General features: G+C 35.3%; 1 protein-coding gene across 47 annotated transcripts in view, besides 2 other annotated features; it reads left to right on the plus strand.

The window, feature by feature from the left end:
* The window catches only part of RIMS2 (regulating synaptic membrane exocytosis 2), a 755,485-nt gene that overhangs the window by 142,174 nt on the left and 597,573 nt on the right, over positions 1 to 15,738 (plus strand). For 18 of the 47 annotated variants that reach the window (NR_145710.2, XM_017014015.3, XM_017014010.3 and 15 more), the window contains exons 2-3: positions 9,422 to 9,454; positions 9,841 to 9,927. The exons of the other annotated variants lie outside the window; for them this stretch is intronic. Coding sequence is in view for 17 of the 18 variants with exons in the window: in XM_017014015.3 (XP_016869504.1) it covers positions 9,422 to 9,454; positions 9,841 to 9,927 (120 nt within the window). In the remaining variant the exon portion in view is untranslated. The remainder of the gene's footprint in view (positions 1 to 9,421; positions 9,455 to 9,840; positions 9,928 to 15,738) is intronic. 47 annotated transcript variants of the gene reach the window in all.
* Positions 3,107 to 3,703: an enhancer, noted in NCBI's record as "OCT4-NANOG-H3K27ac hESC enhancer chr8:104658118-104658714 (GRCh37/hg19 assembly coordinates)". NCBI's record gives its function as "activates a minimal SCP1, AML or CMV promoter by ChIP-STARR-seq in primed H9 embryonic stem cells {active_cell/tissue: H9 hESC(primed)}" and the evidence as "EXISTENCE:reporter gene assay evidence [ECO:0000049][PMID:30033119]".
* Positions 8,058 to 8,823: an enhancer, noted in NCBI's record as "OCT4-NANOG-H3K27ac-H3K4me1 hESC enhancer chr8:104663069-104663834 (GRCh37/hg19 assembly coordinates)". NCBI's record gives its function as "activates a minimal SCP1, AML or CMV promoter by ChIP-STARR-seq in primed H9 embryonic stem cells {active_cell/tissue: H9 hESC(primed)}" and the evidence as "EXISTENCE:reporter gene assay evidence [ECO:0000049][PMID:30033119]".

The raw sequence follows: 15,738 nt of genomic DNA on the forward strand, positions 1-15,738 counted from the left end.
ATTCTTATACTGTTTCTCTGTAGATAAGGTGTTTGCTTTTTTTCTTTCAAAATGTCATCTTTGTCTTTCATTTTCTGCAGTTTGAATAGTATATTCTTATTTGAAACATTTTTTGATATTCATCCTGTTTGGTGTTCTCTGAGCTTCCTGGATTCATGGTTTGGTGTTTGTCATTAATTTTAGAAAATTTTCAGTTGTTATTACTTAAAATATTTCCTTTGTTCCTTTCTTCTCCATCTGCTATTCCCATTACACATACTTTATAGTTTTTATAATTGTCCCTCAGTTTTTGAATATGCTGTTCCATCTTTTTCACTCTTTTGTGTTTTTGTTTTTCAGTTTTAGAAGTTTTTATTGACATATTTTCAAGCTCATTGATTGTTTTTTTGGCCAAGTCTACTGCTCTGTTGATGAGTCTGTCAAAGGCATTCTTTATTTCTTTTATATTATTTTTTATTTTTAGCATTTCCTTTTTGATTCACTCGTAGAGTTTCCCTCTCTTTGCTCATAGTACCGGTGTATTCTTGCATGTTGTCTACGTTTTACATTGGAACTCTTAGTATATTAACCACAGCTATTTTTCTCAGTCTAGCAATTCCAAATTTTCTGCCATATTTGATTTATGCTTTCTTTGTCTCTTCAGACTTTTTTCTTGCCACTTAGAATGCCTTGTAATTTGTTATTGAAAGCTGGAGAAGGGTTATTCAGTAAAAGGAGCTTAGGTAGTTAGGTCTTAAGTATGACATTTTATGTTTATCTGGAGAAGAGTTAGACTGTGTTTACTGTTTATTGTAGCTGTGGTGTCAGAGGCTAAAATTTTTCTATTGTCCTTGTGTTTATCTTTTTTTATTTTTTGCTGTTTTGTTTTTCTGTACTGACTCCTTACTAAATAGTTTCTGAGGATTGCAGTTGTTTTAGTTGTTTCACCTGTTATTATATAAGAACTCTACTGATTTGGTGGTAAGTGTAGAGGGAGGAGAGGCATCTGATAGTTCTGTCATTAGGCCTCAGTCTGTCAATGAGCTTGAGTTGAGTTTCCTTTCCCTACATTGAAGGCTAGAGAGGACTGGAATTTGGTATTTTCCATTTTCTACATTGAAGGCTAGAGGAGGATGAAATTGGGTATTTACCTTCCTCAGGCCCGTTAAGCTTTGGCAAAACACCATCTTTATAAAATAGTTTCCCTTGAGAGAAGACCTTGTTAAAATACAGAGCTTCAAGTGCATTTCAAAATGGTTACTTTCCTTCTCCCCCTATTAGATACAGGAGAGGATTTTTCTCTGATTTTCACCGAGAGAACCCGGTGGAGCTTCTAGAGATAATACTTATGCAAGTGTGTTGGCACCCGTAAGACTGAGAAACTAAGATTTGGAATTTGAAACTTAGAAGTAGTCTACCCTGAGCCTCTGGCAATTAATTATAAAGTGTTTGTGGATATACTGGTTCCACCTGCAGACCTCTGCTCCTGGACATTTGGTTCTGGTAAGCTGTGCAACTTTGTATTTGTCTGTTTGTTTAGTTTTTGTGGCAGCAGTTTGTGAGGTCACATTAATTTCTTGATGACGCTAACAAGAGTTGTTGATTTTCAGTTCAGCTTTTTTTCTCATTTTGAGGATGGGAGTGATAATTTCCAAGATCTTTATATGTCAGATTGGAAACTAGAATCTCATCAGCTTCTTGGAATGGACGAATGTAGGAGTTCACTGTTAATAATGTTAGCATATTGTCAGAGAAATAGGTGATGTAATTAGTTTCTCATATTACCAATTTTTAATTCATTATCTCAACATTTTAATTTTGGTGAGATACTTTGTAATGTGATTTTATCTAAAATATTGGCAAAAGGAGAAGAATAATTTTATACTTTTAATTGTATTTAAAGACATTTTAAATATTTATTTAAAACATAAATATAAAATGTAAATATTTTAAATATTTATACATATTTTGTTTGGGAGGATGATGCAAATGTTATACATTTCATATATAGATGTTTTTACAAAACCCAGTTTTAATAATTTAGATTTTTATGCCTATGTTTTCTAGTAAAGATTTTGAAATTGGAAACTGATTTTTAGATTAATATCAACATGTTTATGATAAAAACTTGTCACTGATTAAGAGCAACATGATTTCTTGCAGATTCTCACCCAGGAGTTCTTTAACAAGTAAATGAGCCCATTTACATATTTATTTCAGTATTTCTTGTTTTTAGCATACTATTATTTGGTGAAGGGTCATTTTAATTGTTCTTCATTTTAATGAGCTCATATGGTAATCTTTCTTTGCCATTATCTTTTTATCTATTTGTGAATGTTTTGTTCTAAAAAGAGATTTTTATCTTTTTCTCAAAGAAATACAAGTTTTCTAAATAGAATTCAGTGTCACTATAGTTTGCTTGTGTTTGAATGTTTATATGACATTTGGTGTTAAAATAATCTTTTAAATATTAAATCCATTTTGTGACTGTATTTAAATACTAAATGATGTGACTTTCATTCTTGCAAATAAGATATTACACTCTGAATTTTATAAAGAGAATACAGGATATAATTTTATTGTTAATATAGAAATAGATACCAATTATATTTGTTATTGTGACACAAATATGTCTAAGAATATGGCTTTCATTTATTACTATATCATTAAAAAATGAACACAGTGTAAAAGTGAATCAATTTGATCTAAAGAGAATTTAATTTACAGTGTTAGGTATAGCCTTGTAATGAAAGTCTAGGATTTTGCTGACCAGTTTTCATGACTAATTCTTAGTTTCCCTCTGAGAGGGTAAAAACTAATAAACTGATCACATAGTCATAAGTTTACCTCTTAGGATAAGTTCTAGGAAATTGTGAGAAACCAAATTTCAGAGGCCTTTATTATCCTTGTGCATGATTTTTCTCTGCCTTATAAATATCCAGTCTTATTTCATTTTGATACTCAGTGATCTATATTGGGCCAGTCTCCCTTAATTTCCCGAATATTGTGAAACCAGTACACACTAATAGGTCTGTAGAAGGAATAATTTAATTTTAATAAAGGAATATTAAAAAAATGAATAATATTAATTTCATACACGTCCATGTGAAGAGACCACCAAACAGGCTTTCTGTGAGCAATAAAGCTGTTTATTTCACCTGGGTGCAGGTGGGCTGAGTCTGAAAAGAGAGTCAGTGAAGGGAGATACGGGTGGGGCTGTTTTATAAGATTTGGGTAGGTAAAGGAAAATTACAGTCAAAGGGGGGTTGTTCTCTGGTGGGCAGTTGTGGGGTTCACAAAGTGCTCAGCAGGGGAGCTTTTGAGCCAGGATGAGCCAGGAGAAGGAATTTCACAAGATAATGTCATCAGTTAAGGCAGGAACAGGACATTTTCACTTCTTTTGTGGTGGAATGTCATCAGTTAAGGCAGGAACTGGCCATCTGGATGTGTAGGAGCAGGCCACAGGGGATATGATGGCTTAACTTGGGCTCAGAGGCCTGAGAATTAATCCCAAGAATGACTCACTAAATGTGTGCCACGTGAGGTAGAAGTTTTTTTTTAGTTAGGTGTACCTAATTTTTCGTATCATATGCATCATGAATTAACTGTCTCCTTTTTTTTCTTCAACTTTTATTTTAAGTTCAGGGGTACATGTGCCAGATGTTCAGGTTTCTTACATAGGCAAATGTGTGCCATGGTGTTTTGCTGCACACATCATCCCACAACCTATGTATTAAGCCCAGCATCTGTTAGCTGTTCCTCCTGATGTTCTACCTCTCTCCGCACCCAGTTCCGACAGGCCTCAGTGTTTGTTGTTTCCCCCATGTGTCCATGTGTCCATGTGTTCTCATCATTCAGCTCCAACTTATAAGTGAGAACATATGGTATTTAGTTTTCTCTTCCTGTGTTAGTTTGCTGAGGATAATGCCTTTCAGCTTTATCCATGTCCCTGCAAAGGACATGATCTTGGGCTGAGACAATGGGGTTTTCTAGATATAGGATCATGTCATCTGCAAACAGAGATAATTTGACTTCCTCTCTTCCTATTTGAATAGCATTTATTTTTTTCTCTTGCCTGACTGCCCTGGCCAGAACTTCCAATACTATGTTGAGTAGGAGTGGTAGGAGAAAGCATCCTTGTCTTGTGCTCATTTTCAAGAAGAATGTTTCCAGCTTTTGCCCATTCAGTATGATACTGGCTATGGCTTTTTCATGTATGGCTCTTATTATTTTGAGGTATGTTTTTTCCATGCCTAGTTGAGAATTTTTAACATGAAGGGATTTTGAATTTTATTGAAGGCCTGTTCTGCATCTAATGAGACAAATTATGCATTTTTTGTCTTCAGTCCTGTTTATGTGAAGAGTTACATTTATTTATTTTTGTACATTGAACCAACCTTTTATTGTGGGAATGAAACCTACTTTATCATGGTGGATATGCTTTTTTATGTGCTGCTGGATTCGGTTTGCCAGTATATTGCATTTATGTTTGACAGTTTTTGCATCAGTGTTCATCAAGGACATTGCCTGAAGTTTTTTGTTGTTGTTGTATCTGTGCCAGGTTTTGGTATCAATGTGATATTTTTGCATTGATGTTCATCAAGGACATTGGCCTGAGGTTTTTTGTGTTGTTGTATCTGTGCCAGGTTTTGGTATCAGTATGATGTTGACCTCATAGAATGAGTTAGAGGGGAGACCCTCCTTTTTAATTTTTTGGAATAGTTTCAGTAGAATGGTACCAGCTTTTATTTGTACCTCTGGTAGAATTCAGTTGTGAATCCATCTCGTCCTGGGCTTTTTTGGGTTGGTAGGCTATCTATTACTGCCTGAATTTCAGAACTTATTATTGGCCTATTAACAGATTCAGTTTCTTCCTGGTTCAGCCTTGGGTAGGTGTATGTGTCCAGATATTATTTGTTTCTTATATATTTTCTAGTTTATGTGCATAGAGGTGTTTATAGTATTCTCTGATGGTCGTTTATATTTCTGTGGGGTCAGTGGTGATATTCTTCTTATTTCTGATTGTGTTTATTTGATTCTTCTTTCTTTTCTTTTTTATTAGTCTTACCTAGTGGTATATTATATTAATTTTTTTTCCAAAAACCAGCTGCTGGGTTCATTGATTTTTTTTTGATTTTTTTTTTTTTTAATTTTTGTATCACCTTCAGTTCAGTTTTGATCTTGGTTACTTCTTGTCTTCTGTTAGCTGTGGGGCTTGCTCTTGGTTTGCCAGTTGTTTTAGGTGTGATGTTAGGTTTTTGAGATCTTTCTAGCTTTTTGATGTGGGCATTTAATGCTATAAATTTCCCCCCTAACACTGCTTTAGCTGCGTCCCAGAGCTTTGGGTACATTGTCTCTTTGTTCTCATTAGTTTCAAAGAACTTTCTTATTTTTCCCTTAATTTCATTATTTACACAGGAGTCATTCAGGAGCAGGTTGTTCAATTTCAATGTAGTTGTGTGTTCTTCAGTGATTTTCTTAATCTTGAGTTCTAATTTGATTGTGCTGTAGTCTGAGAGAATGTTTGTTATTATTTCAGTTCTTTTATATTTGCTGAGGAGTGTTTTACTTCAGATTATGTGATAAATTTTAGTCAATAAAATTTTAGTTAGATAAAATTAAGTGCCATGTGGTGATGAGAAGAATGTATATTCTGTTCTTTCCTTGGTGGAGTTCTGTAGGTATCTATCAGGTCCATTTGATTCAGAGCTGAGTTCAGGTCCTGAATATCCTTGGTAGTTTTCTGTCTCGATGATCTGTCTCATATTGACAGTGGGGTGTTAAAGTCTCCCACTATTATTGTTTGGGAATTTTAAGTCGTTTTGTCTCTAAGAACTTGCTTTATGAATCTGAGTGCTCCTGTATTAGGTGCATATATATTTAGGAGAATTAGCTCTTCTTGTTGAATTGAACCCTTTATCATTCCATAATAACTTTCATTGTCTTTTTTGATCTTTGTTGGTTTAAAGTCTGTTTTGTCAGAAATACTGGAATTGCAACCCCTGTGTTTTCTGTTTTAAATTTGTTTGGTAAATTTTCCTCCATCCTTTTATTTTGGGCCTATGTGTGTCTTTGCATGTGAGATGGGTCTCTTGAAGACAGCATACCAGTGGGTCTTGGCTTTTTATCCAGCTTGCAATTTTGTGTCTTTTAATTGGGGCATTTAGCCCATTTATATTTAAGGTTAGTATTGTTATTTGTGAATTTGATTCTGTCATCATGATGCTAGCTGGTTATTTCGCATACTTGTTTATGTGGTTGCTTCATAATGTCACTGATCTGTGTACTTCAGTGTGTTTTTGTAGTGGGTAGTAATTGTTTTTCTTTTCCATATTTAGTGCTTTGTTCAGGAGCTCTTGCAAGGCAGGCATGGTGGTGGAAATTCCCTAAGCATTTGATTGTCTGAAAAGGATCCTTTTTCTCCTTCACTTATGATGTTTAGTTTGGGCGAATATGCAGTTCTGGGTTGGAATTTCTTTTCTTTAAGAACATTGAATATTGGCCCCTAATCTCTTCTGGCTTTTAGGGTTTTTGCTGAGAGGTCCCCTGTTAGTCTGATGGGCTGCATTTTGTAGGTGACCTGGCCTTTCTATCTGACTGCCTTTAACATTTTTTTCTTTCATTTGTATATTTCAGAATCTGATTATTATGTGTCTTGGGGTTGATCTTCTAATGGAGTATCTTACTGGGGTTCTCTATATTTCCTGGATTTGAATGTTGGCCTGTCTTTCTCTGTTGGGGAAGTTCTCCTGGATGATATACTTAAGTATGTTTTGCAACTTGGTTCCATTCTCCCCATCTCTTTCAGGTACCCTAATGAGTCTTAGGTTCTGTCTTTTTAAATAATTTCATATTTTTTGGAGGTTTTGTTCATGCCTTTTCATTCTTTTTTTTTTTTCTTTCTGTTCTTGTATGCCTGTCTTACGTCAGAAAGACAGTCTTCAAGCTCTGAGATTCTTTTCTCTGCTTGGTCTATAGTTCTCATGTTGTGTTTTTCAGCTCCATCAGGTTGGTTATATTCCTCTCTAAACTGGCTATTCTGGCTATCAGCTCCTGTATTGTTTTATCATGAGTCTTAGCTTCTTTGCCATTGGGTTACCACATGCTCCTTTATCTCAGCAAAGTTTGTTATTACCCACCTTCTGAAGCCTACTTTTGTCACTTCAGCCATCTCAGCCTCAGCCCAGTTTGTGCCCTTACTGGACAGGTGTTGTGGTCATTTGAAGGAGAAGAGCTGTTCTGGCTTTTTGAGTTTTTAGCGTTTTTGTGTTGATTCTTTCTTAGCTTTATGGGCTTACCTACCTTTGGTCTTTGGGGTTGGTGACCTTTGATTTGGGTTTTTATGGGGTCTTTTTTATTGACGTTGTTGTTGTTTTCTGTTTGTTTTTCTTTTAATAGTGATGGCACTGTTTTGTGGGGCTGCTGTGGTTTGCAAGGGTCCCCTTCAGACCCTAGTTGCCTTCGTTTTTCTCCTTCCCAGAGTTATCACCAGTGAAAGCTGTGAACCAGCGAAGATGGCAGCCTTCCCCTTTTTCTGGAAGCTTTTTTTCAGTGGGGCACTGACCTGTTGCTGGCCCAAATATGCCTGTAGGAGGTGACTGGAGACTCCTGCTGGGAGGTCTCACCCAGTCAGGAGGAACAGGATCAGGGATCTGCCTAAAGAAGCAATCAGGTGGCCCTTTGGTAGAGCAGGTGTGCTGCATTCAGGGGTCTCTTCTTTGTCTGGACTGTTCGTATTCTCCAAAGCTGGAATGGCTGAGTCTACTGAACTGCAGAGATAGAGAACCCCTGGGAGCTTCATCCCTGAGAAAGATCAAAGCTCTGTCCGGAGAATCCTTGCTGGAGTGGGTGAAGCCCTCACAGGGAGGTCTTGCCAAGTGAGGAGGAATGAATTGGGTTCCACTTAAAGAAGCAGTCTGGCCATGATCTGTCAAGGCAGCTATGCTGCTCTGTGGGGGACCCCTCCTCATCCAAACTGCCTGTATTCTTCAAAGTTGGCAGGCTGAAATGACTGAGTCTACTGAACCACAGAGATGGTGGTCACCCATCCCCCTGGGAACTCAGTCCTGACTCAGGCAGACTCCAGCCTGCTACTACCAGCTGGCTGGAATTCCAAGCCAGTGGGTCCCAACTTGTGAGGCACCATGTAAGTGGGGCCCACAGAATGATGCCACTTTGCTCCCTGGACTCAGTCCCCTTCCTAGGGGTATTCACAGATGGATCTCCTGCCTTGATGCAGATTCCGGGGCCAAAGTATGCAAAACTCCTGGGTCTCTGTGTGTGTCTAAGCAGCCGCTCTGCCGAAACCTCACATAGCTCAGTGTATTGGACCCAGGACCCTGGTGATGTGGGTTCACGAGGATATCTCCTGATCCATGGGTTGCAAGGATCTGTGGGAGAAACGTGGTTTCCTGGGCAGGTCACACAATCACTGACAGCTTCCCTTTGCTCCGTGCTGCTCCCAGGTGGGCTATCGCCCTACCCTGCTTCTCTTTGTTCTCTGAGGGTCAAGTTGTTTGCTTAGTCAGTTTCAACGTGAGAACTCAGATATTTCAGTTGAAGGTGCTGAACTGACTTGCTCCTTTCATTCCTCTCCTTGAGTGCTGTGGAATGCAGCTGCTTTCAATTGGCTGTCTTAGCTTTCCACAACTGTCTACTTCTAAATCAGTTTCTGACTGTGAATTTTAGATTTTTGTAATATAAAAATATCTTCTCATCTCAGAGAATTAGAAAGTAGTTTTTTCTATATGCTATTTTAGATAAGACTTTATTGAACTCAGCAGAACTAGAAGTAAAGCACTGACTTGATTATTATAGTTATTTCTATACTATTTATTTAAATTCATTTTCAGTCTGGAATAGTTGTTTGCATAATTAACTTATGAATATTTCTAATTTAATATACCTAGTTATTTTAATAGCTATTTTAAGAGAGTTTGGATACCTGCCCTCCCCCACCTCCCATTCCTTTCTCTGCTCCTTTAGGCATAAAGAAATTCATTTGTAAGACTTTTAAAAATACATTCGTAAAACTCTATGTTTAATTTAAAATATTTATGCCTTTACTTCAATATTAAGGAAAAATTAAAAAAAGGAAATCTATTTGCACTTAACTAAATGTAATTGTGTTTAATATAGTATGTTAAAATAATTACTTAAAAATCTTCAATATCAATAAAAATATTCAGAAAACTTCAGGACCAAATCATTGCTTTAAAACAGAGGTAGAATTTTAATATTAGTTTTCTGTTAAGGACAAATGATTCATTTTCTCTTTTTTGTGTAAAATTGATTGAAATGTATAATTTCAATATATGGCAAAGCACTAAGTCTTTCTATATAAAATTCTTATTTTTGGTGTCCATTTTATATGAACACAAATTTGTAAATAGAAATCTCTTCATAGTACAGTGCACTCAGTTGTGCAAACTTATCTTTTTAGGGTCAAAGAAGAACACAAACCACAACTGACACAGTAAGTAAATGTATTAAGAGTGTAGTAGGCTTGACTTCTGTACTTTTGCCACATACTGCTTTCTGGTATTAGCTTACACTAATACTGGATAGGCTGCAGCTAGTGTGTCTTCTGCTTTCTGACTCTCTGGCTTGTAAGAGAGCTGCTTGCAGCTTCTTACATCACCCACATAGTGACTGGATGTAGTTTTTTGCTGCCTGCTTGTGGACTAGTTAAGTGTTCAAATTTAATTTCCCTACATTTTGACTGCCTGGATGATAATTGGAGCTCACATTACCATTGGCTGTAGCTTTTGTGCCTGTGTATTTTTATTATGGATAAGAAAACGTTAACCTACATTGTTATTCATTTGGTTATTCAGTCACATTATTTGCTTATTTAAACAGGTGGTTTCCCTTTAGTGGAATCACTGAACTGGTAAATAACGTTCTTCAGCCCCAGCAAAAACAACAAAATGAAAAGGAGCCCCAGACGTAAGTAAGCTGATCTATATAGACTAAATATTATCTCTGATAGTATAACATACTGAAAAGTATGTGTTAAAATACTGTCCTTGAAATAGTATGCCCTCAGAAAGGAAAATTGTTCGGTTAGGGTTTGATACTGTTACCCTTAATGAAAATCTATAAAGAAGGCAAGGATAATTAATAGGGTAGTAAAAAAGAAGAGGTAATTCCCCCCACCCTGCTATATTTTAGTATAAATAATGTAAGCCATACTTATTCAGTAAAACATCCTTTTCCAACAATGCAATATATAACTAGAGTGTGTTTCTTTCAAAAATTGTTCTAGAGGACATTAAAAGATATTAACCCCCAAATTCAATCTTTAGTCAAATAGTTTTGGAAAGGTTGTTTTAAAAAAGGTTAAGCAAGTTTCTTTATTATAATTATTCTGAGAACCCAAATATGCTCCAAGGGTATTAGAACATACACTGTTTAATACATTTGTTTGACCACTGAATCCTGTTTTTACTAAACATTTCATTAGGTTATGAAACATAATTTGGGAAATGTGGCAATATATTCTCACACTGACCTGAAGCATTAAAGAAGTATTGATTTCATTTTTTTGTTATTAGATTTAAAAACACTGTTTAAAAAGTTGTTCACTTCTGTAGCATTTTAATTTTGTGCAAGCAATATTATTTATGTTGTGAAGTTGAGGTAGCTGAAGATGTGAGAGAGACTGCATATATTTAAATTCCAGTATTCTCCTGACAGTTGTCATAATATTCAGATGTGCTCCAACCACTTAGCCTCTGTGCTTCCTTTTGAATTATGACTTTGGAGAAGCTGGTTTGGTTGTAGGAATGGACAAGTTGACAAGTGACATGGACTCCAGGAGAGAATGAGAATGACGAGTATGATGAAACACTCAGAAAAACATTCATATTTTGCCTTTAATGCAGAGTAAAAGATAAACATCTTTTATGTCTTGTTGCTATTGATGAGGATAATCTCATGCATTTTATGCTACTTTGCATACATTTTATGTTATATTTTGTCAGGGTTTTCATTTCAACTGAAGTAAAAGTATGATATGTACTCTTCCTAATAGTTAATATGTAGTTCTCAAATTGGAACTTCTCCTGTACTTAAGGTCGTTGAAGTAGGGCCAGTATTTGTCTTGCCTACTGTTTTATTCTTGGCATTTAGCAGAATGCCTAATACATAGTAGGAACTCAATAAATATTTCTTCACAATTGATTTTTCATATTTTATCCTTTTATGATACAGGAATTTTATGACATAAGGAGTAAAATTAAATTTAACAATTGCTTTTCTAACTAGCAAGCATTATATTAAAATGCCACACAATGTCATTGTTTTGCTTTTTCACTATGGCACTGAAGCTTAAAATAAAATGGAGAAACCAATAACAAAATATAATTAGATGTAATTTTGTCTTGGTTTTAAATGACTTCAGTTAATGTATCTTGTGTGTGAGGTTTTGAAAATAATCAAGACTGTGCCATATTATGTATTAATTACCATGGCCATTAAATAAAATGACATATTTTGTGAGTAACTTTTAAAAAATGATATTTAGATTATTGTAACAAAGTGACATTTGATTGGCATAAACACAAAAGAAATCACTTTAATAATAAATATAATCCAATCTGCTTTGATTTTTGTATAGGAAGATGGTAGAAAAAATTAGCACTTTTAGATGATTTAAAAATTAATTCTTGATTAATTGGTATTATTTCAGTTAAGATTTCTTTGACAACTAATTCATTCTTGCTCTGTGATTTATGTAGTTTTAAAAATTCAGAATCAATAGATTCTCTTAATAGCTACATTCTTCATCTTACATTCTTGTTACATTGAAGATTTTTGGTATGTAATTTTCTAGAAGCCTTCCTTTTATCTTTCTGAACCACAGACCAGGGTTACTTCTGAATGCCCTTTAATTCACTTACTCTCTATTCGGATTTATAAGGCTTCTTCTTTCTGGCTTATCTTATTTCTTTCTCAATATGAATACTATGTGAGTGGGATAACTTCCTATCTGCTTACTTTCTATTATTCATCCATAAAATTATTTTTGGAAGCTGAATTCCAGGTATTCATTTTAAGTTTTAAATGTTAAAAAGTAAGTTTTTCATATTTTGTGCAAATACTTTCATAGTAGAATAACGAAATATTCTACCAGATAGCTAGTATTAAAAATCTATTATGTTTCCTAAACACTAGTTCATTTTAATCCATTTATATAAATTCCATTTTGCGGTTGTTGAAAAATCTAATGATGATGTAGGCTTCTTGAGGTCTGTATTTTTGAGGTTTGTTCATTTCATATTCTTTAGCATAATAGGAAGATTTACTAATTTTGATTTTGGCAATTGATGTGAAATTATAGATATAAGTAGACTACTGTATATTCAACTTTGACTTTTCCTGAGATTTGAGGCATAGAAAATTGAATGAGCCATTTGTTTTAGTTGCCAGTTAATTCACCCTTTGTAGAAACTGCTTAATATATAAATTAAATAATTTTAATATTACTTTCTCTTTTCTTTTGCTATTTTTTGCATCAGCATTAAAATGAGGGAAAGTTTTCTGCAAAGAGAATATCACATAACATAGGTTTTATGTAAGGTATAAAACAAGCCTCTGGATAATTAAAGATGGAAATACTAGGAAAAATGATAAATGCCTTATAATGCAACTGTCATTTTAACTTTGTATCTGCAATACATAGCAAAATGGTAAAGGTAATTAAAAAAAGTTTCCAATGCAAATACATTAAACTAATCAATTGGATTACTTTACTTTGAATTTTATATTTTAGTTTTATTTATGTTTTGCTATGATTAATAAATGTACTTTTGAAATACTAGAGAAATCTAAAATTTGAATTATTGGAATTAGATAACCACCTAATATAGTAATCCTCTTTGGCTGTGAGGTCTTTTAATAGAAACAAAATGTTAAAGGGAAGAGTGTTTTAAGCATAGGGAACATGATATGTGAGAGTCTTTAAGTAGCAAGGGACACAAAGAAGACCAAGATGGGTGTAGTATAGTAGATGAGAGGGAGTGTGGCAGGAGATGAGGTTCCAGAGGTAGGACTCAGATAGGGCAGTGGTTTTACAGAGAATGATAAGGAGTTTGAATCTGAGTCTCAGTATACAGGGAAGATATTGAAGAGATTTAAACATGGGAGTGACATGATTTACTTTATGTATAAAGAACATATTGACTGCTCTATAAGTAGCATGAGTGAGAATAGAAATGGAGAGAGCAATGGAAGAGGCCTTTTTTGAGGACTTTGCTAGTGATAGTGATAACCTGGACCACACTGATTACAGTGAATACAGTGAAGATGGAGAGAAGTAAATTGAGAATATATTTGAAGATTGAAATGATATGATTTGTCAGAGGAGAAGATTTAGAAGTTGTTGAAGAAGGGAAAAGAACCAAAGATGACTCCTGGGTTTCTAGTTGAAAGAACTAATTGGGTCGTGATGTTATTAAATATGATCAAGAAGAGGAGAAGATTAACAGGTTGGAGGTATAAACTAAAACTTACATTTTGAACTTTTAAAATTTAAGATGCTTATAATTATCCAGCATTAAAGGAGAGAGATGGACTGGCCAGAGATATATTTTTGAGAGTGGTTAGTATGGCACATAAAGCTAGAAAAATGCATAAAATAACCTAGAGAGAGAGTGTGTGATAAAGAGCAGACACAAAGATTGGTTAAGCTCTGAAAAATCCTTATACCTATCCTGGGTCCTGAGATAAAAAGACTGTGGTTCCTACTCTCAAATAGTTCATGGTTAAGTGGGAAAAACAGACAAGCTGATAAGTAATTAAAAACAGTTCTGTGGGGACTTCTGGTTTGATTTTTGATATGTGAAAGAGCATGAAAGTTGTCACTGCTATTCTCATAACAAGAAAAATGCTGAACTGAAAACCAACAACTTTTCTTAAATCCATCAGAAAATTGAGGTCACAGGGCAAATCAAGCCATGAGTAGTGGAGAGAGAGGCAAATACAAAGAGTAAGTTTACTGGGTGAAGAAACCACAGATTCTGTTAGGAAAACTTAAACTATAATTGATGAACTGCTGGAAGCTGAATGTGGACTAACTTAAAAGTTAAAACTTCTTGCGGTCCTAGCCTTAGGGAAGCCCCCACAATTTTAAGGTTTTACTTCTGGGAGTACCATCAAGCTCTGAAAGTGAAGATCAGAGAAAAGTCCCCTCATGCCTCCAGCTGGGGGAGGGGAAAGTAACCATTCTGAAATAGCCCAGGGAAGGAGTAACCATTTTGACATACTCCCAGAACTTTCTGTTCCCCACCTTCCCTCAAGAGAAACAACTTTACCAGAGCTGAATCAATATGAGAAAAGGAAAATAACTCCAGTCTTTAGATTTTCCGCCTCACCTAAGGGGGACAAGAAGCTGAGAATCACTTTCAGAGTCACAGCCCAAGAGCACAGGTTCACTAAAGACCAAAACCTATTCATAGGAGTAGGTTTCTCTTCCAAGTGGCAATTCAGAGATTTAGGCTGCTGCTCTCTTGTAAGCCATCTGGAACACATAGCTTCCAGGGTTGCTACACCAGTGGAAGAGAGATAATGGAGAACTCACACTTATTCTTAATTATGTAAGACAGAAGTGTCATAGGTCACTTTTGCTCACAGATTATTGCCTAAAACTTCTCACAAGGCACTATCCTCTATATAATGAGTTCTAGTAACACCTACAGTTAGTTTACATTTGATTCTTATTTACTGCAATGAGACAGAAATTTTAGGATGCCAAAAGATAAAGATTTCCCAAAAGAATAGTTACTGTAGCAAGGATTGCCCTGTCAACAAAATTTTTCTGGAAAGGAATTTTGAGGAAAGAGACTTTGTTTGCAAATGGGGTAGACATAGTTTTCAATGATAGAGGAAGGTGCATTCCAGAAAGCAAAGGGAGGATCTGATTTTATAGCAAACGTTCCTGCCCATGTTTTTAATCCAGTTTCTTTATGAAAATGAAGGATTCAAACTTGCTTCATTCTCATTGGTTAACACAGCTCAGTTCTGACTGGTTGATACAGCTGGGTTCTGATTGGTTGGTATAGCTGAGCCCTGATTACTTGGTTTAGGTGAGCACAAAGTTCAATAGAGGTGTGGGTTTTCTGGAAACTCAGAGTATGTGATGACCTCTAGTTAGCAAATGGCAGCTTGGCTGTATTTAAAATCTAGACCCAGTTAGCCACTTGAGTTCCACCTTGAAGGATTAACTCTTTCAGGTTCACATTTGTTCACAACTCCGATACCGTAGTTGCTTCTACTGTAACTGCTATAATGACTAGGATCAAGGTCTAATTTTTACAAGACTGAAGGTTAGGTTATAACGTGAAGAAAATTCAAATATACAAGTGTCCTCTGGAAGGAAATTTGCTATTTGTAGTGTTTTAAGTAACAGCTATTAGGTTGGTGCAAAAGTAAATTACTTTCAATGCCAAAACTGCAATTACCTTGCACCAACCTAATATTAAGTTTTGTCAGTGAGATAACAGGGAGATTTTTGCCTTCTCTTAGGTGGTAATGAAAGACTAATGGAGATAAAGAACGTGATAACACTGGCCGTATGTGAATGTATACACATATTCTGAGAAGCCTTTAGTTGATCACTAGGGATGCCAAAGCACAATAATAAATAAGATTACAAGTAAACAAAATTGTTTTAGAAAGGAGGAGCAGAGATACCAGAAGAATTACAATCTTCTGTTCTTGGGTGGAAGCTGTATACTTTGGTTTGTCATTTGCTTGATC

This window comes from Homo sapiens, chromosome 8 (assembly GCF_000001405.40).
Source record: "Homo sapiens chromosome 8, GRCh38.p14 Primary Assembly".
NCBI classification, from domain to species: domain Eukaryota; kingdom Metazoa; phylum Chordata; class Mammalia; order Primates; family Hominidae; genus Homo; species Homo sapiens.